This window comes from Homo sapiens, chromosome 15 (assembly GCF_000001405.40).
Source record: "Homo sapiens chromosome 15, GRCh38.p14 Primary Assembly".
Classification (NCBI taxonomy): Eukaryota; Metazoa; Chordata; class Mammalia; order Primates; family Hominidae; genus Homo; species Homo sapiens.
Window position 1 is genome coordinate 20,079,092 of NC_000015.10, and position 27,193 is coordinate 20,106,284.

The following is a 27,193-nucleotide window of genomic DNA, read 5'->3' on the forward strand; positions in this document are numbered from 1 at the left end:
CTCTGCCTCCCAGGCTGGAGTGCAGTGGCGCAATCTCTGCTCACTGCAACCTCCGCCTCCTAGTTCAAGTGATTCTCCTGCCTCAGCCTCCCAAGCATCTGGGACTACAGCCACACACCACCATGCACAGCTAATTTTTGTTTCTTTCTTTTTTTTTTTTTTTTTTTTTTTTTTGAGACAGAGTCTCACTCCCTCACCCAGCCTGGAGTGCAGTGGCACGATCTCAGTTCACTGTGACCTCCACCTCCTGGTTCAAGTGATTCTCCTGCTTCAGCCCCCCGAGTAGCTATGATTACAGGCATGTACCACAAGCCTGGCTAGTTTTTGTATATTTTATTTTATTTTATTTTACATTATTTTATTTTATTTTTGAGATGGAGTTTTGCTCTTTCGCCCAGGCTGGAGTGCAGTGACGCAATTTCGGCTCACCACAAGCTCCGCTTCCCAGGTTCATGCCATTCTTTTACCTCAGCCTCCCGAGTAGCTGGGACTACAGGCACCCGCCACCACACCTGGCTAGTTTTTGTATTTTAGTAGAGATGGGGTTTCACCAAGTTGGCCAGGCTGGTCTCGAACTCCTGACATTGTGATCTGCCCACCTCAGCCTCCCAAAGTGCTGGGATTACAGGCATGAGCCACTGCACCTGACCTATTTTTTTAAGACGGAGTCTTGCTCTGTTGCTCAGGTTGGAGTGCAGTGGTGCAATCTTGGCTCACTGCAACCTCTGCCAGTTGGGTTCAATCAATTCTCCTGCCTCAGTCTCCTCAGTAGCTGGGATTACAGGCATGCGCCACCACACCCAGCTAATTTTTGTATTTTTGGTAGAGACAGGGTTTCACCATATTGGCCAGGCTGGTCTCGAACTCCTGACCTCAGCTGAGGAGACTGAGACAATCCTGGTCAACATAGTAAAACCCCATCTCTACTAAAAATACAAAAATTAACTGTGCGTGGTGGCACATGCCTGTAATCCCAGCTACTTGCCAGGCTGATGCAGGAGAATCACTTGAACCAGGGAGTCAGAGGTTTCAGTGAGCCGAGGTCACACCACTGCACTCCAGCCTGATGACAGAGCAAGACGCCATGTCAAAAAAAAAAAAAAAAAAAAAGGCTGGGCGCAGTGGCTCACGCCTGTAATCCCAGCACTTTGGGAGGCCCAGGTGGGCAGATCACGAGGTCAGGAGATCGAGACTGTCCTGGCTAACATGGTGAAAACCTGTCTCTACTAAAACTACAAAAAAAAATTAGCCGGGTGTGGTGGCGGGCACCTGTAGTCCCAGCTACTCGGGAGGCTGAGGCAGGAGAATGTGGCGTGAACCCAGGAAGCGGAGCTTTCAGTGAGCCGAGATCGTGCCACTGCACTCCAGCCTGGGTGACAGAGCAAAACTCGGTCTCAAAAAAAAAGAGAGAGAGAGAGAACTTAGTAATTTTAAAGTTTTTTTTTCTTATTGTGACAAAAAGCATGAGGTTCTCAAGGTTCACGCCATGATGGTGCCACTGCACTCCAGCCCCTTCCCTCTACTTTGCTGCCACTCGGATGGGGGAAGCTCTGGAAGACTTCTTAGGGAAGTGGCATATAAACTGTGTGTCATACTTGTTGTTGTTTTTTTTTTTTTTTTTGGAGACAGGGTCTTGCTGTGTCCCACAGGCTGGAGTGCAGTCGCATGATCACAGCTTACCATGGCCTCAAACTCCTGGCTCAAGCAATCCTCCCATCTCAGCCTCCCAAGAGGCTAGGACTACAGGCAAACACCACCACGCCCAACTAATTTTTAAAATTCATCCCACGTAGAAGAGGGGGAAAGGCATGAAAGGGCATTTGTGGCAGAGGAACAGTGTGAGCAAAGACCAATAGTCTGGGAAAAGGAGGAGGATAGGCTGTGGGTGGAGCAGGAAATGTGGGTGCTTCTCTTGGCAAAGGATTCTGAATGCCAGGTGAGCAGGACGAATGTATCTTGTGGGCGCCAGAGAGGCCTGGGCCTCAGCCTGCCCCTGTAAAATGAGGTGATTAGACTGGTCTGCTTCAGGCCTTCCTAGGGCAAGGGGCTGTCACAGAAAGGGTCTACTCTAGGTTCTTCCAGGTTCAACCCCAGAAAGGCAGAATGGGAAGTGGCTGGAGCAGCTCAGAGGCTAGGGGTAATATTTTGCTCCAGAGCCCAAGTCTGAGAATGACTATTTTACCAAGCTGTCTGCATTGCATCCCTAAGTCACCCTGGCTAACCCTCCACCCAGTCAGGGTCCTGCAGGGAAAACCCAGGCCTTGGGTCAGGAGGCAAGAAGGGTGATGGGTGTCTTACCCCTGGCTCCACCCTAGGTAAGGGTTGGCCCTCTTGGAGCCTCAACTTGCTCATATGCACAATGGAGGAGCTGTGCCTTGGGCTCTCTAAGCCTCTCTCCCCAGGACAGCACTGTCATTCTGGAGATGGGAACAGCATTAGCAAAGGAACGGAAGTAGGATTGTGAGGACCTTGTTGGGCAACAGACAGGCAGGTGAGGCTGGAGAATGGAGTCCCTAGAAGTGGATGGTTCTTGTTGGGGTTGGCTGGATCCAAGGGGTATGACCTTCCTCCTTATGTGCAGAACTGGGTGAGCCCTAGGTCATGGCCAGCAGCCCTCGGAGTGGGACTGAGGACCTGTTGGGAAACCAGTTTGGCAAGGCCATCATCTCCATGATGTCATCCAGCCACTGTGTTCTCTGGGCAATAGTGCCAGGCAAACTTCTGGCCCTGCAGGAGGAGAAAGGGCCTCAGATGCCCACTGGGCAGCAATGAATTCCAGGAGACCCAGCCTCACAGACAAAGGAGAGGCAAGGGGCTGGAACAGGAAGGAGAGAGTTCTGGATGTGCCAGCCTGGACCTCTTTAGACTTCTGGGAGTCCCTGATGCCTGGGCGCAGGGAGTGGGGGTCTAGGCTCATGGTGGGACACTATGTAATTGCTACCTGATGGGTTGGACACTGGCTCCTGATCATGCTTATACTACATGTGTGGCAATTTTGTTACCACTATGACCTTCACAGCTTGAGTCCTGTGAGGTAGGACCACCATTATACAGATAAGGAGACAGACTCAGAACCCTCGTTCTTTTGTTGTTTTTTTTTGTTTTGTTTTGTCTTTGAGACAGAGTCTCACTCTGTCGCCCAGGCTGGAGAGTGGAGTGGCACAACCATGGCTTACTGCAGCCTTGACCTCCCAGGCTCACAGTGGGACTACAGACACATGCCACCATGCCCGGCTAATTTTTTTTATTTTTTGTAGAGACAAGGGTCTCCCTGTGTTGCCAGGGCTAGTCTTGAACTCCTGGGTTCAAGCAATCCTCCTGCCTTGACCTTCTGAAGTGCTAAGATTACAGGCGTGAGCCACTGCGCCTGGCCAGAACATTTGTTCTTAATCACCATATTCTACCATCCACCATTTGGAAGCTCCGCTTGGATGAAGCCTGAGCACTGGGGAGACCTGGGCCTCAGTCTGCCCATCTGTAAAATGAGGGGGTTTGACTGGCTTCCTTCAGGCCCTCCTAGGGCAAAAAACTGTAACAAGAAGGGTCTAGATTCTTCCAGGTTCAGCCCTGGACTGGCAGAGTAGGGAGTATCTGGAGCAGCTCAGGGGCCGAGGGTATTTTGGCTCCAGAGTCCAGTCCGAGAATGAATATTTTACCAACCTGTCAGTGTGGGATCCCAGCAAACCCTTCTCTCTACTTCTGAACATAGCACCTGAATCTTGGCATCACAGAGTCCTGGATACCCACCTTATGGTTCAAATAGGTAACTGAGTCCCAGAGAGGACAAGGGACAGGCTTCAGGTAGTGTAGCAAATCAGGAGCAGAGCCATTCTGCATCCCAGATTCTCAACCTCCCAAAACTTTGTTTCCTCCTCAGGTCCTGGCACACTTAAGCATGAAATAACTGACACATATTGAGTGCCTATGGCATACCATGCACTCATGTAACCATCACCACAGCCCTATAAAGCAGATGCTAATAGTCTGTCCCTTTTATGGGCAAAGAAACTGAGGCTCAGAGAGGGGAAGTCATTTGTCCAAGTTGACACTGCATGTTGGTGGTAGGGAAGGGATTTGAACCCAGGTATATAGGCCCTTCCCCCTCAGCAGATCCAGTAAGCCTCACTGGAGGCATGAAGACCTGTAGACAGCAGGGTGGATGGCTCCTTTGCTGGTTCTGAAGGCGCGCAGTGTCCAATTCAGAGTTTCCACGCAGGCCTGGCCTCTCTGGGGCAGGCAGAAAAGTGCTGAGGCTGCAGAAGGGCTCTGAATCTTCCCAGAGGAGGCGGCCATGGTGGGAGGCAGTGCTCTGCACCAACCTCAGAGCCAAGTGTAGACATGGTGGCTGGACCAGCTGCAAACAAGGGAAGGCAGGCAGGGTGGGGCCCAAACCCTAACCCAGCCTCCAAGCCGTGTTCCCAGCCTTCCGCCAGCCAGGCCCTGCCCTACCACCCTTCTCGCTCCCCACCTGGATTTGAGATGAGGACGCCGGGCCTAATAATAGCCAAACGGCAGCAGAGGCAGTGCCTGGAGCCACTGCCAGTTGGAGCCTGGGGTCCCCCATGGTCTCATGTTGGCCTCCAACAGGGTTCAGAACTTTAAAAGTACTGCACTCCAGCCTGGGCGACAGAGTGAGGTCTTGTCTCAAAAACAAAAACAAAACAAAACAAAAACCCTTTAAAATAGCAACTGCTTATGAAGTTTATAATATGTGCTGGGCACTGTGCTAAAGCATAGCCCACAGTAACTTACTTATTCCTCACCCTACCCCCACTGGCTAAGACTATTTCTTTTTTTTTTTTTTTTAAGACAGAGTCTCACTCTGTCACCCAGGCTAGAGTGCAGTGGCGCAATCTCGGCTCACTGAAACCCCTGCCTCCTGGCTTCAAGTGATTCTCCTGCCTCAGCCTCCCAATTAGCTGGGATTACAGGGGCCCGTCACCACGCCTGGCTAATTTTTGTATTTTCAGTAGAGACGGGGTTTCGACATGTTGGCCAGGCTGGTCTTGAACTCCTGAACTGAGGTGATCCATCTGCCTCGGCCTCCCAAAATGCTGGGATTACAGGCATGAGCCACTGTGCCTGGCCAGGCTAAGACTATTCTTAGCCCTTTTGATGGATGGAACACTGCCCCTGATGATAACAGGAACTTGGCAGCCTTCAATTGCTGAGCATGCATACTGTCCCTCCTTGGCACTCTGCTAAGCACTTTCTTTGTATTTTCCCATTGATTCCCCATGGCATTATGAGACAGATGCTAATTTCTTTAGACGAAGAAAAAAATGAGGCCCAGAGAGAAAAGTGACTTGCCCAAGGTCACACAGCTATAATGGACAGAGTCGAGACTCAAACCTAGGACTTTCTAACTGTAGCGAGGCTAAGACCTTAGATTCTGGAAACAGACAAACTTAAGTACGGTGGGTTCATCACTGCTCCTTAGCTATGCAGCCTTGGCAAGTCACATCACCTGCCTGAGCCTCTGTTTTCTCCTCTGTAAATTGAGGGTTTGGGGGAGATAATACTAACACTCCCTGACAGCTATTAAGCCCACGTTGGGTGTAATAAAATAGGTAATTTACAGCACACATTTCCATGGTGCATTCCCTCAGTCAATTCTCACAATAGCCCCCAATGTTAGGACTCCTCTCTTCCAGCACCTGTGTTTTTTGGTTGTTGTGTTTTTTTGTTTGTTTTTTTTTTTAGACAGTTTCACTCTTGTTGCCCAGGCTGGAGTGCAATGGCACAATCTCAGCTCACTGCAACCTCCGCTTCCTGGGTTCAAGCGATTCTCCTGCCTCAGCCTCCTGAGTAGTGAGTAGCTAGGATTACTGGCGTGCGCCACCACGCCTGGCTAAGTTTTATATTTTTAGTAGAGACGGGATTTCACCATGTTGTCCAGGCTAGTCTTGAACTCCTGAACTCAGGTGATTCGCCTGCCTTGGCCTCCCAAAGTGCTGGGATTACAGGTGAGAGCCACCATGCCCGGCCCCAGCACCTGTTTTATAGAAGGGAAATGTGAGTCTCAGAGAGGAGCGGCACTTGCCCAAAATCAATAGCAAGTGAGTCAGGACTTAAGCCCAGGGCTGTGGTTCTAGAGGCTGAGCTCTTTTTTATTTTTTAAGACAGGATCTCTGTCACCCAAGCTGGAGTGCAGTGGTGTGATCATGGCACACTACAGCCTTGACCTGTCTGGGCTCAGGTGATCCTCTCACCTCAGCCTCCCGAGTAGCTGGGACTACAGGCACTCACCACCACACCTGACAAATTTTTATAGAGATGGAGTTTCCCCATGTTGTCCAGGCTGGTCTCAAACTCCTAGTTTCAAGTAATCCGTCCACCTCAGCCTCCCAAAGTGCTGGAATTACACAGGTGTGAGCCACCATTCCCAGCCAGGCATGTGACTATTTTTGGCCAATAGAATATATGGAAGTGGCATTGCCAGTTCGAAGCCTGGGTGTTAAGAGATTGGGCCTTAAGAGATTCCACTCATTCTCTTGGAACTCTCGCAGCTGTTATGTGAACAAGCCTGGGCTATCCTGCCTAAGAGACCACTGGAACAGGGACTAGTTATCCTAGCTGAAGCTGTCCTAGTCAGTCACCATCTAATCCAATAGCTGACCACAGATACATGAGTAAGCCCAACTGAGACCAGAAAAATCTTTAGCTGAGCCCAGGCTAAAGTGCCAGTCCATGAAATCTTGAGCTAAAAAAATGGTTGCTGTTTTAAGGCACTAAGTTTTGGGGTGGTTTGTTATGTAGCATTGTTGTGGCAATTGATAACTGATACACAGTTTTATTCAGTGTAATTAATGCTGGCTGCTGTAACAAACAAAATATCTCAGTGGTTTAACCCAATCAGAGTTTATTTCTCACTCCTGCAAAGTCTGATATAGGTTGGGGCTCTCCCAGGGAGCTCTTTTCCAAGCAGTGACCTTGCCCCCCAATCCTGCCTCCACCCCAGGCTCTCCATGGAATCTATTCCTGAATCCTCTGCATGTGGAAAGGGAATCAGAAAATCAAAGGAGGCACATCCACACTTAACTGCCTTTGCGCAGGGGTCACGTATAATTTCATTGGCCTTTATGTAGTCACATGACTCTACTAACTGCAGGAAAAATGAGAACATGACCTTCCTGTGTGTCCAGGAAAAGGAAACAGGTTACAGAACACAAAGCATTGCTTCTGTTACATTCCTCCTGTTGTGGGGCTGGTGTGCGTGCATGCATGCGTGTGTGTGTGTGTGTGTGTGTGTGTCTGTGTCTGTATGTGTGGTGGGAGTTGGAGGGGCGTGTGTGTTAAGTAGAGAATTAACATCTATAAAGAATCAACAGTGGTGCATGCCTGTAATCCCACTACTCTGGGGAGCTGAGGCAGGAGGATTGCTTGAGCTCAGGAGGTTGAGGCTGCACTGAACTGAGATCATGCCATTGCACTCCAGCCTGGGTGACAGAGCAAGACCGTGTCTCAAGAAAAAAAAAAAAAGAGAGAGAGAGAGAGAGAATCAACTTCAGCACCTACCATGTGTTAGCTTAAATAAGGGACAAGTTATAGGTAAAGAATTTGAGGCTCAGCTTAACTGGGCCTGGTGCCGCATGCCTGTAGTCCCAGCTACTTGGGAGGCTGAAGTGGGAGGATCACTTGACCCTAGGAGGTTGAGGCTGCAGTAAGCAGAGATTGCCCACTGCATTCCAGCCTGGGTGGCAGAATAAGACCTTGTCTTAAAAAAAAGAAAGAGGCTGGGCACAGTGGCTCATGCCTGTAATCCCAGCACTCTGGGGGGCTGAGGCGGGCAGATCACCAGAGGTCAGGAGTTCGAGACAAGCCTGGCCAAGATGGTGAAACCCGGTCTGTACTAAAAATACAAAAATTAGCCAGGCGTGGTGGTGGGCACCTGTAATCCCAGCTACTTGGGAGGCTGAGGCAGGAAAATGGTTTGAACCTGGAAGGCGGAGGTTGCAGTGAACTGAGATCATGCCATTGCGCTCCAGCCTGGGTGAAAAGAGGGAAATTCCATCTCAAAAAAAGAAAAAGAAAAAAAGAATCTGAGACTCAGAAAGGTTGAGGAACTTGCCCCAAATCATACAGCAAGCCAGTTGAGTAGCTATTTTGCGGTAGTGAAGGGCTCAGGGAGATCTGGAGTTGGACAGATCTAGGTACAAATCCCAACTCTGTCAATTCTTCACTGTGTGACATTTGGCAAGTTACTTAATTTCTCTAGGCCTCAGTTTCCTCATCCACAAAGTGGGGAGCTAATACTTCCAACCTTATAAGGTTGGGAGTGATCATTCACAGAGCTTGCATGGGATGGGGATCCTGGTACATGGGCCTTACATAATGAATGTCAGCCACATAGGCAGAAATGATGCTATCTCTGATCTTACCCTGCCAGGGTCCATGAATTTGGCCAAGGGGATTTATTATGTTTTCGATAAATCCTATCCCTTCCCTCTGTCTCTTGTGGTGTAAATGGTTTTATTTACTTCATTAAGAGATGGCAATTTGGCTAAGTGTGGTGGCTCATGCCTGTAATCCCAGCACTTTGGGGGGCTGAGGTGGGAGGATCGCTTGAGTCCAGGAGTTCAAGACCAGCCTGGGCAACATGGCAAAACCCCATCTCTACAAAAAGTACAAAAATGAGCTGGGTGTGGTGGCACCCACCTATAGTCCCAGCCACTTGGGAGGCTGAGGTGGGAGAATCCCTTGAGCCTGGAAGGTGGAGGTTGCAGTGAGCTGAGATCATGCCACTGCACTCCAGATTGGGTATCGGAGTGAAACTCTGCCTCCAAAAAAAAAAAAAGAGAGAGAGAGAAAGAGAGAGCTAGAACTATTTCCCCAGTTGAATTTTTTTTAATTAATTAAGTTTTTAATTTTTTGAGACAGGGTCTCACTCTGTCTCTCAGGCTGGAGTGCAATGGTGTGATCACAGCTCACTGCAGCCTCGACCTCCTGGGCTCAAGCGATACTCCCACCTCAGCCGGTGCATGCCACTATGCCCAGCTAATTTTATGTATTTTGTTTTTGGTAGAGATCAGGTCTCACTTTGTTGCCCAGCTGGTCTCAAACTCCTGGGCTCAAGCAATCCTCCTGCCTCAGCCTCCCAAAGTGCTAGGATTACAGGTGTGAGCCATGATGCCCGCTCCAGCTGAATATTTGTTACTGAATAAACCTTTATAAGCACAAAGCCCCTGAACACCTATGGCTGCTGACAGATGTCTGAAATGCCTCCATTACTGCATTTTTTTTTGAGACAGGGTCTAGCTCTGTTGCACAGGTAGGAGTGCAGTGGCGCAATCATGGCTCACTGAAGCCTTGAACTCCTGGGTGCAAGCAATCCTCCTGCCTCAGCCACCGAAGTAGCTGGGACTACAGGCACACACCACCATGTCTGGCTAATTTTCTTATTTTTTGTACAGATGAGATCTTGCTGTGTTGCCCAGACTGGTCTGGAACTCCTGGCCTCAGCAATACTCCTGCCTTGCCTCCCAAAGTATTGGGATTACAGGAGTGACCCACTGCACTCAGGCTTAAATCTTTTTTTCTTTTTTTTTTTTTTTTGAGACAGAGTTTTACTCTGTCGCCCAGGCTGGAGTGCAGTGGCGTGATCTCAGCTCCCTGCAACCTCTGCTTCCCGGGTTCAAGCAATCCTCCTGCCTCAGCCTCCCAAGTAGCTGGGACTACAGGTGCATTCCACCACACCCGGTTAATTTTTGTATTTTTAGTAGAGACGGGGTTTCATGATGTTGGCCAGGCTGGTCTTGAACCCCTGACCTCAAGTGATCCGCCCACCTGGGCCTCCCAAAGTGCTGGGATTACAGGCATGAGCCATCGTGCCTGGCTGGCTTAAATAATTTTTAAAGTTTTGTTTTGAACAGGTAGTTCTGGGAGGCCAGAGGAGTTATCTCTCAGGAGATAATTATGCTCAAGTCTGGAAGATAAGAAATTGTTGAACAAAAAACTAAGTTGGTCTCGACGTGGGGGTGGGGGTGTTCCAGGCAAGGGGAACAGACTACGCAAATGTCCCAAGGCAGGAACAATCTCCAGAAACTGATGGAAGACCAACGTGAGTGAAGTATGAAGGGTAAGGGAGAAGTGGGGTTTGGATGGGGAGAGGGGAAAAGGCCCAGACTGAAAGGCCCCTGTGGGAACCTTCATAATTTGCAGGACCTGGTGCAAAATGAGAAAAAGGAGCTCCTTGTTCAAAAATTATTAAGTATTTCAAGATAGTGACAGCAGAGCATTACACTGACCCTTCATTGCATGAAGCTGGCCCTGCTCATGGACCATAGTAAGAGGAAAGGACTTTCATGTGAGGGCTGCAGGGACCCATGGAAGGTTTTTGAGCTAGAGGTGATGAGATCTGATTTGCATACGCTTTAGTTGCTGTCGTCACTACCCCACACCTGGATGATGTGTGTCTCTGCACAGGTGGCCTGCTTCACTTTCCTCTTAAACATGTCACTCCCCTGCTCAAGAACCTGGGGTGGTTCCTACTTCCTATTAGACCCAGCCCAGATTCCCTATCCAGACACCCAGAGGCCCTTCAAAATCTTCCCTTACTGGATTTAGTTAATCTAATGTCAACAAAGGCTGTGTGCTGAATCCCAGAGAGATGATGACTCAACCCAAGTTCACACAGCAATTATAGGAGAGCAAGTCAAGGCTGGAACCCAGGTTTCCTGAGGTCGGCCCATCCAGCCCTGAGCGAAGGTGCAGTCCTCTGAAGTGTTTTGTATCCCCCATCCTAGCACAGAGCCATGCACACAGTAGATGCTCAATCTGTGCCTGTGGCCGTGAGTTCGTTCCTCTTAGGGCACATCTCTGCCAGGGCATGGGTGTCCCAGAGTCCAGGATGCAGTTAGCATCCTTCCTGACTCCTTCTCTCCCTCATCCCTACCTCTAGGCATTCACCAAGCCCCACCGCACCCAGGCCAGCTGGCCAGGTCCTGCCCATAGACATGTTGTTTGGCCTGTGCAGTGTTTTAAAGCTTTTCCAATTCATCGTTCTAACATTTTAAAAAATCCGGAAACTTCACATGGCAACCCGCATCTTGTGTCTCTTTGCAAAGTCTCAAGCCTGGGTCTGGGTTCCTTCGGGGAGGCAGTTCTCTCCAACCTCTGAGCTTGCGGTGGGTGGGGTGGGGAGCGGTCACTGTAGTCCCCAGTGGGGCGCCTGAATTTGGGACTTTGAAGCGACAGTGCCCTAATTACCTCCAAGGACCAATAAGGATGCTGGAAGCTGATTCAATCAGACGTATAATAACCCCTCCTTCTGGAGCGGGGCCAGGTGGGGGCAAACGCCGCCTCTGGTCTCTAACAACAGGGAGTAGGAGGGGTGTTTTGCCCTAAACCTTACAACTAGCCCCAACCTGATGTTTGACTTCAGAATCCCTTAGGGCTTCATAGATGAAATGAATGCCCCTGAGAGAGGCCATGCTGCTTCCTCTCACCTGGCCTCTGCCTTTGCTTTCTTCTCCCCCGGGACTGTGCTCTTCGACCTCATCTTCACTCTGGCTGGCTCCGGATTACCATTCAGATCTTAACTCACACGTCACCTCCTTAGAAAGGTCTTCCCAGAGCACGTATCTGAAGCTCCCCAAAATTACTCTGTACTGTAATTACTCCCCATCACAGCACTGACGATCGGAAATGATTAATTTTTTTGTTGTCTCCTGCTAGACTGTGAGCTCTGAGAAGCCAGGGACTTGGGTTTGTCTCGCTCAACAGGGTCCCCAGGACCTAGAAAGGATCTGGCATCAACGAAGGGGCTCAACACACATGTGTGGAACAACTGAACCACTGGATTCACAAAACAGCTTTCCCTGAAGGATGCATGTGACCCCTGGGTCAGCCAGCCAGCATGGGTGGGAGCCAGTAAGGAGGCAGCCAATTTGCAATTAGGGAGCAATTAATAACTACCCAATTGGTACAAAAGACAGCTGAGGGGCTGGGAGGAGAACAAGGGAATGAAGCTCAGAAAGGAGCCTCAGGTCTTTCTTGGAAAATACTGGGAGCGGGCAATGAGGAATCCCCGGGGTAACATTTGAAAACCTCTTCTGTTATTGGAGATTTAAATGATCAGAAGCCCCCCTAAAAGGACTTGGTCCCTTTAAAACATTTTTTTTTTTGAGATGGAGTTTCACTTTTGTCACCCAGGCTAGAGTGCAATGGCACGGTCTTGGCTCACTGCAACCTCCACCTCCCAGGTTCAAGTGATTCTCCTGCCTCAGCCTCCCGAGTAGCTGGGATTACAGGCGTCCACCACCACACCCAGCTAAATTTTGTATTTTTAATAGAGATGGGGTTTCACCATATTGGCCTATTGGTCTCAAACTCCTGACCTCAGGTGATCCACATGCCTCGGCCTCCCAAAGTGCTGGGATTACAAATGTGAGCCACCATGCCTGGCCAAAACATTTTTTAATGGTTTGTAGAGATGAGATTTCACTATGCCCAGGCTGGTCTTAAACTCTTGGACTCAAGAGATCTGCCCACCTCGGCCTCCCAAAGTGCTGGGATTATAGGCATGAGCCACTGAGCCCAGCCAGGACTTGGTCCTTTAAGAAGCAGGTGTGGGCCGGGTGCGGTGGTTCACGCCTGTAATCCCAGCACTTTGGGAGGCTGAGGCAGGCGGATCACAAGGTCAGGAGATCGAAACCATTCTGGCTAACACGGTGAAACCCTGTCTCTACTAAAAATACAAAAAAAAATTCACCGGGCATGGTGGCCGGCGCCTGTAGTCCCAGCTACTCAGGAGGCTGAGGCAGGAGGATGGCATGAACCCAGGAGGCAGAGCTTGCAGTGAGCCAAGATCGTGCCACTGCACTCCAGCCTGGGCAACAGAGCAAGACTTGTCTCAAAAAAAAAAAAAAAGAAGAAGCAGGTGTGCCGGGCTTGGTGTCTCATGCCTGTAATCCCAGCACTTTGGGAGGCCTAAGGGGGAGGATCACGAGGTCAAGAGATCAAGATCATCCTGGCCGACATGGTGAAACCCCATCTCCACTAAAAATACAAAAATTAGCTCGGTGTGGTGGCACTCACCTGTAGTCCCAGCTACTCAGGAGGCTGAGGCAGGAGAATTGCTTGAACCTGGGAGGTGGAGATTGCAGCGAGCTAAGATCATGCCACTGCACTCCAGCCTGATGACAGAGCAAGACTCCATGTCAAAAAAAAAAAACAACCTTTCTGGGCATGGTGGTGTGTGCCTGTAGTCCCAGCTACTCAAGAGGCTGAAGTAGGAAGATTGTTTGAGTCCAGGAGTTTAAGCTTGCACTGAGTCATGATCACACCACTGCACTCCAGCCTGGGCAACAGAGACAGACTCTGTCTCTAAATAAATCAGTAAATCCTGCCTTAGATAAAAATTGCAGACCAGGTGTGGTGGCTCACACCTGTAATCCCAGCACTTTGGCAGGACGAGGTCGGTGGATTGCTTGAGCTTAGGAGTTCAAGAGCGGCCTCGGCAACATGGCAAAACTCTGTCTTTACAAAAAAATACAAAAATTAGCCAGGCATGGTGGCATACACCTGTAGTCCCAGCTACTCAGGAAACTGAGCTGGGAGGATCACTTCAGCCTAAGAGGTTGAGGCTGCAGTGAGCTGTGATTGTGCCACTGCACTCCAGCCTGGGCAACAGAGCAAGACCCTGTCTCAAAAAATAAAATAAAACAAAATAAAATAAAATTGCTGTTGGATTAATTAGGAGGTTTGATATGGAGCAAGTCATCCTTTCATGTTTTGAAGTAACTTTAAAGTTTGTCCACTCAGTAAGACACAAGTATCCATTTGGGCTTCTTCAATATTCTATGGGGTTTGGCCGGGCATGGTGGCTCATACCTGTAATCCCAGCACTTTGGGAGGCCAAGGAGGGCGGATCACTTGAAGCCAGGAGTTCGACACCAGCATGGTAACACGGTGAAACCCCATCTCTACTAAAAATACAAAAATTAGCCAGGCGTGGTGGTGCATCACTGTAGTCCCAGCTGCTTGGGAGGCTGAGGCATGAGAATTGCTTGAATCTGGGAGGTAGAGATTGTGTGAACCAAGATCGTGCAACTGTACTCCAGTCTGGGTGACAGAGTGAGACTCTGTCTCAAAAAAATAAAATAAAATATTCTATGGGGTTCAAGAGTTTCGTTTTTAGGGCCAAAGCATTATTATTGGAGGAAGGCAATCCCTACTTCTCCCACTTATTTCTGCCATGGGAGGAGGGTTCTCCTGCCCAACACCCACAGGCCCAGGCACCTGGAGGCAACTCTAAAAACAGCAGGAGACTACTGAAGGAAATTGTCCATCTCTACGAGGCACTCCTTGTGTCTCCAGAATTTATTAAATGACATCACAGTAAGGCTTGGCAAGTAGGATAAGGGAGTTAGACCAGGGAGGACAGACAGAAGTCTGCAGGCCTGAACACAGGCAGGAAGGAAACGGAAAATGCAAACAGGAGAGGTGAGGCCAGAGCTGAGCACTGCAGAAGGAAAATGAACAACCCTAGTTTGTATTACAGAACACTTTCACAAGTACGGTCTGCCTTTATCCTCAGCAGTTCTTACTGGTAAGATATAATGATATCCATTTTATAGATAAGGATCCTAAAGCCCAGCAAGGTCATGGATCTACACATAACTGAGCCACACATCTTAGATCAGTGCTTTTTCTGCTTGGCACACCCCACAGGGACTGGCACATAATGGGTAAAGAGTTGACATTTATTGAAGAAAAGTAGAAGGTATGCATTTGACAGCACTTAAAAAAAAATGTAGGCCAGGCGCGGTGGCTCACGTCTGTAATCCCAGCACTTTGGGAGGCTGAGGTGGGTGAATCACCTGAGGTCAGGAGTTTGAGACCAGCCTGGCCAACATGGTGAAACCACATCTCTACTAAAAATACAAAAATTAGCCCAGTGTCATTGCATGTGCCTGTAATTCCAGCTACTCAGGAGGCTGAGGCAGAAGAATCGCTTGAACGTGGGAGGTGGAGGTTGCAGTGAGCCAAGATCGCACCACTGCACTCCAGCCTGAGCAACAGAGCAAGACTCCATCACAAAAAATAAAAATAAAATAGAAGCTGATAGGGTATATTTGAGGGGGAAAAGATTCAATAACAGAAATTGAAATGTAGGTAAGCATGAGGAAGTTGTAAGCACTTCCTAGCTCTGTCTTTTTTTTTTTTTTTGAGACGGAGTTTCACTCTTGTTGCCCAGGGTAAAGTGCAATGGCGTGATCTCGGCTCACGGCAACCTCCACCTCCCGGGTTCAAGCGATTCTCCTGCCTCAGCCTCCTGACTAGCTGGGATCCACCTCCCGGGTTCAAGCGATTCTCCTGCCTCGGCCTCCCGAGTAGCTGGGATTACAGGCATGCGCCACCATGCCCAGCTAATTTTGTATTTTTAGTAGAGACAGGGTTTCTCCATGTTGATCAGGCTGGTCTCAAACTCCCGACCTCAGGTGATCCACCCGCCTCAGCCTCCCAAAGTGCTGTGATTACAGGTGTGAGCCACTGCACCCAGCCTCTAGCTCTGTCTCTTACTTGAATGTGATCTCACCCTGTGTGCCTCAGCTTCCTCATTTGGAAATCCAGGTCTCAGAGTCAGGAAGTAACTTTTTGGTTACCTTACACTGAACACTGAAGGTTGCATAAGAGTTGGTTACATGCTGGGCGCAGTGGCTCATGCCTGTAATCCTAGCACTTTGGGAGGCCGAGGTAGGTGGCTCATCTGAAGACAGGAGTTTGAGACCAGCCTGGCCAACATGGTGAAACCCCGACTCTATTAAAAATACAAAAATTAGCCAGGTGTGGTGGCACTTGCCTGTAATCCCAGCTACTCGGGAGGCTGAGGCAGGAGAATCTCTGGAACCCGGGAGGCAGAGGCTGCAGTGAGCAAAGATTGTGCCACTGCACTCCAGCTGGAGACAGAGCAAGACTCCGTCTCCAAAAAAAAAAAAGAGAGATACACTCCAGGTAGATGGGACTGCATGAGCAACGGCTTGGGTTAGAAATTATGGCAGCATGGATGAGAGACACTGTTCTCATGTATTTTGTTTCACGAGGACAATAATAAAACTTGTTTACTGTGATGACAATTAAATAAGATAATGCAGGTAAGGTGCTTAGCAGAGGCTTGTACATAATGAACTCAGTAATGGTGCTTGTTTTTACTGCTATTTTTGTTGTTTTTACAGATTAAAAAAACAAAGGCTCTGATAGGTGATATGTAGGCCAGGCACACAGCTATTGGTTGTTGAGCAGGATTTGAACCCACAGCTTTTATTTATTTATTTATTTATTTATTTATTTATTTACTTATTTACTTACATTTTTAAATTTAATTTAATTTTTTTTTTTTTTGAGATAGGTTCTCACTCATTGCCCAGGCTGCAGTGCAGTGATGTGATCTCGGCTCACTGCAACCTCTGCCTCCCAGGTTCAAGTGATTCTCCTGCCTTAGCCTCCTGAGTAGCTGGGACCACAGGCACATGAAATCATGACCAGCTAATTTTTATATTTTTAGTAAAGACAGGGTTTCGCCATATTGGCCAGGCTGGTCTTGAACTCCTGACCTCAAGTGATCCGCCCACCTTGGCCTCCTGAAGTGCTGGGATTACAGGCGTGAGCCCACTGCACCCAGCCTATTTATTTGCTTTTAGAGACGGAGTCTCACTATGTTGTCTAGGGTGGAATGCAGTGGCTATTCACAGTCACAATCCCTCCACTGATCAGCACAGTTTTGACCTGCTCCATTTTCATCCTGGGCCTGTTCACCCCTCCTTAGACACCCTTGCTTACAGGAGGTCACCATATTGAAGCTGAACTTAGCACAGACACTCGATCAATATAGCACACTACAGCCTAGAACTCTTGGGCTCAAGAATCCCTAGGCTTATCCTCCTGCCTCAGCCTTCTGAGGAGCAGGAACCACAGGGACACACCACTGTTCCCGGCACCATATCTTCTTGACACTAAGAGACCAGGCTCTGAACCACTGTGTTCAAGTTACCCCGTTGTGGGGCCTCTGTTCCTGCCCTAGGGGCCTCCCTGACTCAGCAACTGTGGGTGGCCTTGCTTCTGTGCCTGGACAGCAGAGGAGGTGAGAAGCCTTCCAGTTCCTTGAAAACCAAATACGGCCAGACCAGGCCTCTGAGGCCCAACCCTCAGGCTTGGCCTGCTCCTGCCTGCTCATATGGGCTGTGGGGCGCAACTCCCTACTCAACCTCCTGGCTCTGCTCCAGGAGGCTCTGGCAGAACCTCCATCCAGATCCTCCTTCTCAGGATCTTGTTGGGAAAAATACTGAAAGAGAACATAAAATGAGTGCCTCTCATCCATGCTGCAATAATTCCTAATTCTAAGACTTTGCTCATGTAATTTGGTCCACAGAGTACCTCTCAAATCAGTGTTTAATGTGTCTTTGGTGGCCAGTGTGAGCTATCAGGAAGAGTTACTTTATAACTGTGAGACCTGCAGTAAGTCACTCATCTCATCCATCCACCCATCCATCCATCCATCCATCCATCTACCCACCCATTGGGCACCTACCTGTGCCAAACACATTACATACAGACTCTTCTTCCAGACCGGAAACTCCATGAGAATTGCAGACCAGGTGTCAAAAGATAATTATTCAGGGCAGGCATGGTGGCTCATGCCTGTAATCCCAGCACTTTGGGAGGCCGAGGTGGGTGGATCACTTGAAGTCAGGAGTTTGAGACCAGCCTGGCCAACATGGTGAAACCCTGCCTCTACTAATAATGCAAAAATCAGCCAGGCGTGGTGGCATGCATCTGTAATACCAGACACTTGGGAGGCTGAGACAGAAGAATCACTTGAATCCAGGAGGTAGAGGTTGCAGTGAGCCAAGATCGTGCCATTGCACTCCAGTCTAGGCAACAGAGTAAGACTCTGTCTCAAAAAATAATAAAAAAATTAAAAAAAAGATAATTATTCAACCAATATCCATGTGTCTCAATGTGTCTCCTCCAATTTATATATTGAAACATAATCTGCAATGTGGTAGTATTAAGAGGTGGGACTTTTGGGGGCGATCACTTCATGAAGCTCCATCCTTATAAATGGGATTAGTGCCCTTATAAAAGAAGCCTGAGGGAGTTTGTTCACCCCTTCTACCATGTAAGGACACATAGAAGACGTCCTCTATGAGGAACAGGCCCTCATTGACACCCAATCTACTGACGCCTTGTTCGTGGATTTCTCGGCCTCTAGAACTATGAGCAACATATTTCTGTTGTTTATATATTACTGAGTCTGAGGTATTTTGTTATAACAACAGGAGCAGACTAAGACAATGAACCGATGGGCCAAGGCTTGTCCTTACTACAGTCCTGGTAAGGCTGTTATCATTATCACCCCCATTTCACAGTTGAGAAGCCCGACACTCAGAGAGGGGAAGTACAAAGAACATACAGCCAGAGATGAGTGGAGCTGAGACTTGGCCAAGTTCTTAACCCTCCTAACAGGGAGGAACCATGCTAAGGGGCAGGCCCTGGAGGAGGACACGGACCATTTCTCCTTCAGCTCTTGGCTTCCTTGGCAGGAAGTGGATTAATTCTTTCTCTTGTCTCCTTCCTAACCAAGCCTTTGAGGGTGCCCAGCTCAGAGTCTACAAAGTCCTTTTCAAGGTTTCCAGAGCCCTCCTCTCAGCCCTGTAGGGGATTCAGGGCGGGGGGACCTTCCTCATGGTTCAGATGGGAGAATTGAGGCCTCTATTGCCCACAGTTATGTGCCATATTAGGGGCCTGGAATCTCATGCTTCAAGAAACTGAGCATGGAACTGGCTGCTAGATATTTCCTGTAGGTGTGGTATGAAGCTCTTAGAGTCTGACAGGTCCTAGCTCTGCCACTTACAAGTTATGCAGTCTTAGAGGAATCACTTCACCCCTCTGAACTGCAGACTTCTCCCCTGAATAGTGAGGACAGTGCTAGTACCTATTTGAGAGATGTTGGGAGGATGAAATGAAACAATGCTTGTGAAGCACTTAGCGTAGTACCTGGAACATAGTCAGTGCTCCAACAATGAGGCTATTATGGTACTAAGTACCTAAAACAGAACATCAGACTGGTAGGAATATCCATGCTGAGGGTAATGTTAGCTAATGTTTCCCTTTTTTTGAGACAGAATCTCGCTCTGTCGCCCAGGCTGGAGTGCCATGGCCCAATCTCAGCTCACTTCAACCTCCACTTCCCAGATTCAAGCAATTCTCCTGCCTCAGCCTCCCATGTAGCTGGGATTACAGGCACAAGCCACTTCGCCAGCTAATTTTTGTATTTTTAGTAGAGACAGTGTTTCACTGTGTTGGCCAGGCTGGTCTCCTACTCCTGGCCTCAAGTGATCCACCCTCCTTGGCCTCCCAAATTGTTAGGATAACAGGCGTGAGCCACCATGCCTGGCCAGCTAACGTCTTTTTTATTGCTACTATGTACCAGACACATTCATCTGGACAATATCCCTGTAACTTAGTGCCATTTTACAGATGTGATAACTAAAATTAGCCCAGCTAATTTTCTTGTATATTTAGTAGAGACGGGTTTTCACCATGTTGGCCAACCTGGTCTTTTTTTTTTTTTTCTCAGATGGAATCTTGCTCTGTTGCCCAGGCTGGAGTGCAGTGGTGCAATCTTCGTTCGCTGCAACCTCCAACTCCCGGGTTCAAGCAATTCTCCTCCCTGGGCCTCCCGAGTAGCTGGGGTTACAGGCGTGTGCCAGCACGCCCAGCTAATTTTCTTGTATATTTAGTAGAGACGGGGTTTCACCATGTTGACCTGGCTGGTCTTTTTTTTGTTTGTTTGTTTGTTTTGTTTTTCTGAGATGGAATCTTGCTCTGTTGCCCAGGCTGGAGTGCAGAGGTGCAATCTTGGTTCGCTGAAACCTCCACCTCCCGGGTTCAAGCGATCCTCCTGCCTGGGCCTCCTGAGTACCTGGGGTTACAGGCGTGTGCCAGCACGCCCAGCTAATTTTGTTGTATATTTAGTAGAGACGGGGTTTCACCATGTTGGCCAGGCTGGTCTTTTTTTCTTTTTTCTTTTTTTTCTGAGATGGAGTCTGGCTCTGTTGTCCAGGCTGGAGTGCAGTTGTGCAATCTTGGTGCACTGCAACCTCCACCTCCAGGGTTCAAGCGATCCTCCTGCTTGGGCCTCCTGAGTAGCTGGGATTACAGGCATGTGCCACCACGCCCAGCTAATTTTTTTGTATATTTATTAGAGACAGGGTTCCGCTATGTTGGCCAGGCTGGTGTTTCTCTTATTTTTTTGAGATGGAGTCTTGCTCTATTGCCGAGGCTGGAGTGCTTCTTTTTTTCAGATGGAGTCTCACTCTGTTGCCCAGGCTGGAGTGCTTCTTTTTTTTGAAATGGAGTCTCACTCTGTTGCCCAGGCTGGAGTACAGTGGCGCAATCTTGGCTCGCTGCAGCCTCCACCTCCTGGGTTCAAGTGATCCTCCTGCCTGGGCCTCCCGAGTAGCTGGGATTACAGGCCTGTGCCACCACGCCCAGCTAATTTTTTTGTATATTTAGTAGAGACGGGGTTTCACCATGTTGGCCAGGCTGGTGTGTTTTTTTTTTTTTTTTTTGGTTTTTTTTTTTTTTTGGAGATGGAATCTCGCTTTACTGCCCAGGCTGGATGGAGTGCTTCTTTTTTTTCAGATGGAGTCTCACTCTGTTGCCGAGGCTGGAGTACAGTTGTGCAATCTTGGCTTGCTGCAGCCTCCACTTCCCGGGTTCAAGCGATCCTCCTGCCTGGGCCTCCTGAGTAGCTGGGATTACAGGTGTGTGCCACCACGCCCAGCTAATTTCTTTGTATATTTAGTAGAGACGAGGTTTCACCAAGTTGGCCAGGCTGGTCTTTTTTTTTTTTTTTTTTTTTTTTTTTTCTGAGAGGGAGTCTCGCCCTGTTGCCCAGGCTGGAGTGCAGTGGTGCAATCTTGGTTCGCTGCAACCTCCACCTCCCGGGTTCAACAGATCTTCCTGCCTGGGCCTCCCAAGTAGCTGGGATTACAGGCGTGTGCCACCACGCCCAGCTGATTTTTTTGTATATTTATTAGAGACGGGGTTCCACTATATTGGCCAGGCTGGTGTTTTGTTTTGTTTTTTTTTTTTTGGAGATGGACTCTCGCTCTACTGCCCAGGCTGGATGGAGTGCTTCTTTTTTTCAGATGGAGTGTGGCTGGGTGGCTTGGGTGGCTGGGCTGGCTGGCTGGCTTGGCTGGGTGGCTTGGCTGGCTGGCTGGCTGGCTTCGGTGGCTGGGTGGCTTGGCTGGCTTGGCTGGCTGGCTGGCTGGCTTGGCTGGCTTGGCTGGCTGGCAGGCTTGGCTGGAATGACTGGATTGGCTGGCTTGGCTGGCTGGCAGGCTTGGCTGGAATGGCTGGCTTGGCTGGCTTGGCTGGCTGGCAGGCTTGACTGGAATGGCTGGCTTGGCTGGCTTGGTTGGCTGGCTGGCTTGGCTGGCTTGGCTGGCTGGGTGGCTTGGCTGGCTTGGCTGGCTGGCCGGCTTGGCTACCTTGGCTGGCTGGCAGGCTTGGCTGGATTGGCTGGCTGGGTGGCTTGGCTGGCTTGGCTGGCTGGCTGGCTGGCTTGGCTGGCTTGGCTGGCTGGCAGGCTTGGCTGGAATGGCTGGCTTGGCTACCTTGGCTGGCTGGCAGGCTTGGCTGGATTGGCTGGCCTGGATGGCTTGGCTGGCTGGCTGGCTTGGCTAGCATGGCTGGCTCGCTTGGCTGGCTGGGTGGCTTGGGTGGCTTGGCTGGCTGGCTGTCTTGGCTGGCTGGCTGGCATGGCTGGCTTGGCTGACTAGGTGGCTTGACCGGCTTGGCTGGCTGGGTGGCTTGGCCGGCTTGGCTGGCTGGCTGGCTTGGCCGGCCTGGGTGGCTGGCTGGCTTGGCTGGCTGGGTGGCTGGCTGACTTGGCTGGCTGGGTGGCTTGGCTGGCTTGGCTGGCTTGGCTCTCTGGCAGGCTTGGCTGGATTGGCTCTCTGGCAGGCTTGGCTGGATTGGCTGGCTTGCCTGGTTTGGCCGGCTTGGCTGGCTGGCAGGCTTGGCCGGCTTGGCTGGCTGGCTGGCTTGGCCGGCTTGTCCGGCTGGGTGGCTTGACTGGCTTGGCTGGCTGGGTGGCTTGGGTGGCTTGGCTGGCTGGGTGGCTTGGCTGGCTTGGCAGGATGGGTGGCTAGGCTGGCTTGGCTGGCTGGCTGGCTTGGCTGGCTTGGCTAGCTTGCCTGGCTTGGCTGGCTTGGCTGGCTTGGCTGGCTGGGTGGCTGGCTGGCTTGGCCAGCTGGGTGTCTTGGCTGGCTTGGCTGGCTTGGGTGTCTTGGCTGGCTAGGCTGGCTGGCTGGCTTGGCTGGCTTGGATGGCTGGCTGGCTTGGCTGGTTTGGGTGGCTTGGCTGGCTAGCTGGCTTGGCTGGATGGGTGGCTTGGCTGGGTTGGTGGGCTGGCTGGCTTGGCTGGCTTGGCTGGCTTGGATGGCTGGCTGGCTTGGCTTGCTTGGCTGTCTGGGTGGCTTGGCTGGCTGGCTGGCTTGGTTGGCTTCGCTGGCTGACTGGCTTGGCTGGCTTCGCTGGCTTGACTGTTTGGGTGGCTTGGCCGGCTTGGATGGCTGGGTGGCTTGGCCGGCTTGGTTGGCTGGCTGGCTTGGCTGCCTCGGTGGCTGGCTGGCTTGGCTGGCTGGGTGGCTGGCTGGCTTGGCTGGCTGGGTGGCTTGACTGGCTTGGCTGGCTGGCTGTCTTGGCTTTCTAGCTGGCATGGCTGGCTTGGCTGGCTGACTGGGTGCCTGGCTGGCTTGGCTGGCTTGGGTGGCTTGGCTGGCTAGGCTGGGTGGCTGTCTGGCTTGGCTGGCAGGTTGGCTTGGCTGGCTTGGCTGGCTTGGGTGGCTTGGCTGGCTAGGGTGGCTGGCTGGCTTGGCTGGCTTGGGGGGCTGGCTGGCTTGGCTGGCTTGGCTGGCTAGGCTGGGTGGCTGGGTGGCTTGGCTGGCTTGGCTGGCTTGGGTGGCTTGGCTGGCTAGGCTGGGTGGCTGGGTGGCTTGGCTGGCTTGGGTGGCTTGGGTGGCTTGGCTGGCTAGGGTGGCTGGCTGGGTGGCTTGGCTGGCTTGGCTGGCTTGGGTGGCTTGGCTGGCTAGGGTGGCTGGCTGGGTGGCTTAGGGGGCTGGCTGGCTTGGCTGGCTTGGCTGGCTTGGCTGGCTAGGCTGGGTGGCTGGGTGGCTTGGCTGGCTTGGCTGGCTTGGGTGGCTTTGCTGGCTAGGGTGGCTGGCTGGCTTGGCTGGCTTGGGGGGCTGGCTGGCTTGGCTGGCTTTGCTGGCTGGGTGGCTGGCTGGCTTGGCTGGCTTGGCTGGCTGGCTGGCTTGGCTGGCTTGGCTGGCTTGGATGGCTGGCTGGCTTGGCTTGCTTGGCTGGCTGGTTGGCTTGGCTGGCTGGCTTGGCTGGCTTGGCTGGCTGGCTGGCTTGGCTGGCTGACTGGCATGGTTGGCTTCGCTGGCTTGGCTGGCTGGCTTGGCTGGCTTGGCTGGCTGGCTGGCTTGTCTGGCTTGGCTGGCTGGCTTGGCTGGCTTGGCTGGCTTGGCTGGCTTGGCCGGCTGGCAGGCTTGCCTGGCTTTTCTGGCTTACTGGCTTGGCTGGCTTGGTCGGCTTGGCTGGCTGGCTTGGGTGGCTTGGCTGGCTTGGCTGGCTGGCAGGCTTGGCTGGCTTGGCTGGGTTGGCTGGCTGGCTGTCTTGGCCGGCTTGGCTTGCTTGGCTGCCTGTGCTGGCTGGCTGGCTGGGCTGTCTGGCTGGTTGGCTGGCTTGTCTGGCTTAGCTGCCTGTGCTGGCTGGCTGGCTGGGCTGTCTGGCTGGTTGGCTGGCTTGGCTGGCTTGGCTGGCTTGACTGACCGGCTTGGCTGGCTTTGCTCTCTTGGCTGGCTTGGCTGGGAGGCTGGCTTTGCTGGGTGGCTGGCTGGCTTGGCTGGTGGTCTGGTTTGGCTGGCTGACTGGCTGGGCTGGCTGGGCTCGCTGGCTGGCTTGCCCGGCTTGGCTGGCTGGGCTGGCTGGGCTCGCTGGCTGGCTTGCCCGGCTTTGCTGGCTGGCTGGCTGGGCTGGCTTGGCTGGCTTGGCTGGCTGGGTGGCTTGGCTGGCTGGCTGGTTTGCCTAGCTTGGCTGGCTGGCTTGGCTGGCTGGGTGGGTTGGCTGCCTTGGCTGGCTGGCTGTCTTGGCTTTCTAGCTGGCATGGCTGGCTTGGCTGACTGGGTGCCTGGCTGGCTTGGCTGGCTGGGTGGCTTGGCTGGCTTGGCTGGCTTGGGTGGCTGGGTGGCTTGGCTGGCTGGCTTGGCCGGCTGGGCTGGCTGGCTGGCTTGGCTGGCTGACTGGCATGGTTGGCTTCGCTGGCTTGACTGTTTGGGTGGCTTGGCCGGCTGGGTGGCTTGGCTGGCTTGCCTGGCTGGGTGGCTTGGCTGGCTTGGCTGGCTGGCTGGCTTGGCTGGCTTGGCTGGCTTACTGGCTTGGCTGGCTTGGTCGGCTTGGCTGGCTGGCTTGGGTGGCTTGGCTGGCTTGGCTGGCTGGCAGGCTTGGCTGGCTTGGCTGGGTTGGCTGGCTGGCTGTCTTGGCCGGCTTGGCTGGCTGGCTGGCATGGCTTGCTTGGCTGCCTGTGCTGGCTGGCTGGCTGGGCTGTCTGGCTGGTTGGCTGGCTTGTCTGGCTTAGCTGCCTGTGCTGGCTGGCTGGCTGGGCTGTCTGGCTGGTTGGCTGGCTTGGCTGGCTTGGCTGGCTTGACTGACCGGCTTGGCTGGCTTTGCTCTCTTGGCTGGCTTGGCTGGGTGGCTGGCTTTGCTGGGTGGCTGGCTGGCTTGGCTGGTGGTCTGGTTTGGCTGGCTGACTGGCTGGGCTGGCTGGGCTCGCTGGCTGGCTTGCCCGGCTGGGCTGGCTGGGCTGGCTGGGCTCGCTGGCTGGCTTGCCCGGCTTGGCTGGCTGGCTGGCTGGGCTGGCTTGGCTGCCTTGGCTGGCTTGGCTGGCTGGCTGGCTTGGCTGGCTTTGCTGGCTGGCTGGCTGGGCCGGCTTGGCTGGCTTGGCTGGCTGGGTGGCTTGGCTGGCTGGCTGGTTTGCCTAGCTTGGCTGGCTGGCTTGGTTGGCTGAGTGGGTTGGCTGCCTTGGCTGGCTGGCTGTCTTGGCTTTCTAGCTGGCATGGCTGGCTTGGCTGACTGGGTGCCTGGCTGGCTTGGCTGGCTGGGTGGCTTGGCTGGCTTGGCTGGCTTGGGTGGCTGGGTGGCTTGGCTGGATTGGCTGGCCGGCTGGGCTGGTTTACACGGCTGGCTGGCTTGGCTGGCTTGGCTGGCTGGCTGTCTTGTGTGGCTGGCTGGCATGGCTGGCTTGGCTGACTGGGTGGCTGGCGGGCTTGGCTGTCTGGGTGGTTTGGCTGGCTTGGCTGGCTGGGTGGCTGGCTGGCTTGGCTGGCTGGGTGGCTTGGCTGGCTGCGTGGCTTGGCAGGCTTGGCTGGCTGGGTGGCTGGCTGGCTTGGCTGGCTGGGTGGCTTGGCTGGCTTGGCTGGCTGGGTGGCTTCGCTGGCTTGGCTGGCTAGGTGGCTTGGCTGGCTTGGCTGTCTGGGTGGCTTGGCTGGCTTGGCTGGCTGGGTGGCTTCGCTGGCTTGGCTGGCTAGGTGGCTTGGCTGGCTTGGCTGGCTTGGGTGGCTGGGTGGCTTGGCTGGATTGGCTGGCCGGCTGGGCTGGCTTACACGGCTGGCTGGCTTGGCTGGCTTGGCTGGCTGGCTGTCTTGTGTGGCTGGCTGGCATGGCTGGCTTGGCTGACTGGGTGGCTGGCGGGCTTGGCTGTCTGGGTGGTTTGGCTGGCTTGGCTGGCTGGGTGGCTGGCTGGCTTGGCTGGCTGGGTGGCTTGGCTGGCTGCGTGGCTTGGCAGGCTTGGCTGGCTGGGTGGCTGGCTGGCTTGGCTGGCTGGGTGGCTTGGCTGGCTTGGCTGGCTGGGTGGCTTCGCTGGCTTGGCTGGCTAGGTGGCTTGGCTGGCTTGGCTGTCTGGGTGGCTTGGCTGGCTTGGCTGGCTGGCTGCCTTGGCTGGCTTGGCTGGCTGGGTGGCTTGACTGGCTTGGCTGGCTGGGTGGCTGTCTGGCTTTGCTGGCTGGGTGGCTTGGCTGGCTTGGCTGGCTTGGGTGGCTTGGCTGGCTAGGCTGGGTGGCTGTCTGGCTTGGCTGGCTGGGTGGCTTGGCTGGCTTGGCTGGCTTGGGTGGCTTGGCTGGCTAGGGTGGCTGGCTGGCTTGGCTGGCTTGGGGGGCTGGCTGGCTTGGCTGGCTTGGCTGGCTAGGCTGGGTGGCTGGGTGGCTTGGCTGGCTTGGCTGGCTTTGGTGGCTTGGCTGGCTAGGGTGGCTGGCTGGCTTGGCTGGCTTGGGGGGCTGGCTGGCTTGGCTGGCTTTGCTGGCTGTGTGGCTGGCTGGCTTGGCTGGCTTGGCTGGGTGGCTGGCTTGGCTGGCTTGGCTGGCTTGACTGGCTTGGATGGCTGGCTGGCTTGGCTTGCTTGGCTGGCTGGTTGGCTTGGCTGGGTTGCTTGGCTGGCTTGGCTGGCTGGCTGGCTTGGCTGGCTGACTGGCATGGTTGGCTTCGCTGGCTTGACTGTTTGGGTGGCTTGGCCAGCTTGGCTGGCTGAGTGGCTTGGCTGGCTTTGCTGGCTGGGTGGCTTGGCTGGCTTGGCTGGCTGGGCGGTCCACTGGCTTGGCTGCCTGACTGGCTGGCTGGCTGGCTGGCTGGCTTGGCTGGCTGGGTGGCTTGGTTGGCTTGGCTGGCTGGCTGTCTTGGCTGGCTGGCTGGCATGGCTGGCTTGGCTGACTGGGTGGCTGGCAGGCTTGGCTGGCTGGGTGTCTTGGCTGGCTGTGTGGCTTGGCTGGCTTGGCTGGCTGGGTGGCTTGGCTGGCTTGGCTGGCTAGGTGGCTTGGCTGGCCTGGCTGGCTGGCTGGCTTGGCTTGCTTGATTGGCTTGGCTGGCTTGGCTGGCTGGCTGGCTCGCTTTGCTGGCTGGCTGGCTGGGCTGGCTTGGCTGGCTTGGCTGACCTGCCTGGCTGAGTGGCTTGGCTGGCTTGGCTGACTGGCTTGGCTGGCTTTGCTGGCTGGTTTTCCTGTCTTGGCTGGCTGGCTGGGCTTTCTTGGCTGGTTGGGCTGGTTGGCTGGCTGGGGCGGCTGGGCCTGCTGGCTGGCTTGGCTGGCTGGCTGGCTTTGCTGGCTTGGCTGGCTGGCAGGCTTGG

General features: G+C 52.9%; 1 pseudogene, besides 5 other annotated features; it reads right to left on the minus strand.

Annotated features, from left to right (window-relative positions):
* Positions 16,642–16,938, minus strand: RN7SL584P (RNA, 7SL, cytoplasmic 584, pseudogene; annotated as a pseudogene).
* Positions 22,145–22,933: an enhancer, noted in NCBI's record as "H3K27ac-H3K4me1 hESC enhancer chr15:20306489-20307277 (GRCh37/hg19 assembly coordinates)". NCBI's record gives its function as "activates a minimal SCP1, AML or CMV promoter by ChIP-STARR-seq in naive H9 embryonic stem cells {active_cell/tissue: H9 hESC(naive)}" and the evidence as "EXISTENCE:reporter gene assay evidence [ECO:0000049][PMID:30033119]".
* Positions 23,005–23,526: an enhancer, noted in NCBI's record as "OCT4-H3K27ac-H3K4me1 hESC enhancer chr15:20307349-20307870 (GRCh37/hg19 assembly coordinates)". NCBI's record gives its function as "activates a minimal SCP1, AML or CMV promoter by ChIP-STARR-seq in primed H9 embryonic stem cells {active_cell/tissue: H9 hESC(primed)}" and the evidence as "EXISTENCE:reporter gene assay evidence [ECO:0000049][PMID:30033119]".
* Positions 23,527–24,046: an enhancer, noted in NCBI's record as "H3K27ac-H3K4me1 hESC enhancer chr15:20307871-20308390 (GRCh37/hg19 assembly coordinates)". NCBI's record gives its function as "activates a minimal SCP1, AML or CMV promoter by ChIP-STARR-seq in primed H9 embryonic stem cells {active_cell/tissue: H9 hESC(primed)}" and the evidence as "EXISTENCE:reporter gene assay evidence [ECO:0000049][PMID:30033119]".
* Positions 24,047–24,567: an enhancer, noted in NCBI's record as "H3K27ac-H3K4me1 hESC enhancer chr15:20308391-20308911 (GRCh37/hg19 assembly coordinates)". NCBI's record gives its function as "activates a minimal SCP1, AML or CMV promoter by ChIP-STARR-seq in primed H9 embryonic stem cells {active_cell/tissue: H9 hESC(primed)}" and the evidence as "EXISTENCE:reporter gene assay evidence [ECO:0000049][PMID:30033119]".
* Positions 26,129–26,649: an enhancer, noted in NCBI's record as "H3K27ac-H3K4me1 hESC enhancer chr15:20310473-20310993 (GRCh37/hg19 assembly coordinates)". NCBI's record gives its function as "activates a minimal SCP1, AML or CMV promoter by ChIP-STARR-seq in naive H9 embryonic stem cells {active_cell/tissue: H9 hESC(naive)}" and the evidence as "EXISTENCE:reporter gene assay evidence [ECO:0000049][PMID:30033119]".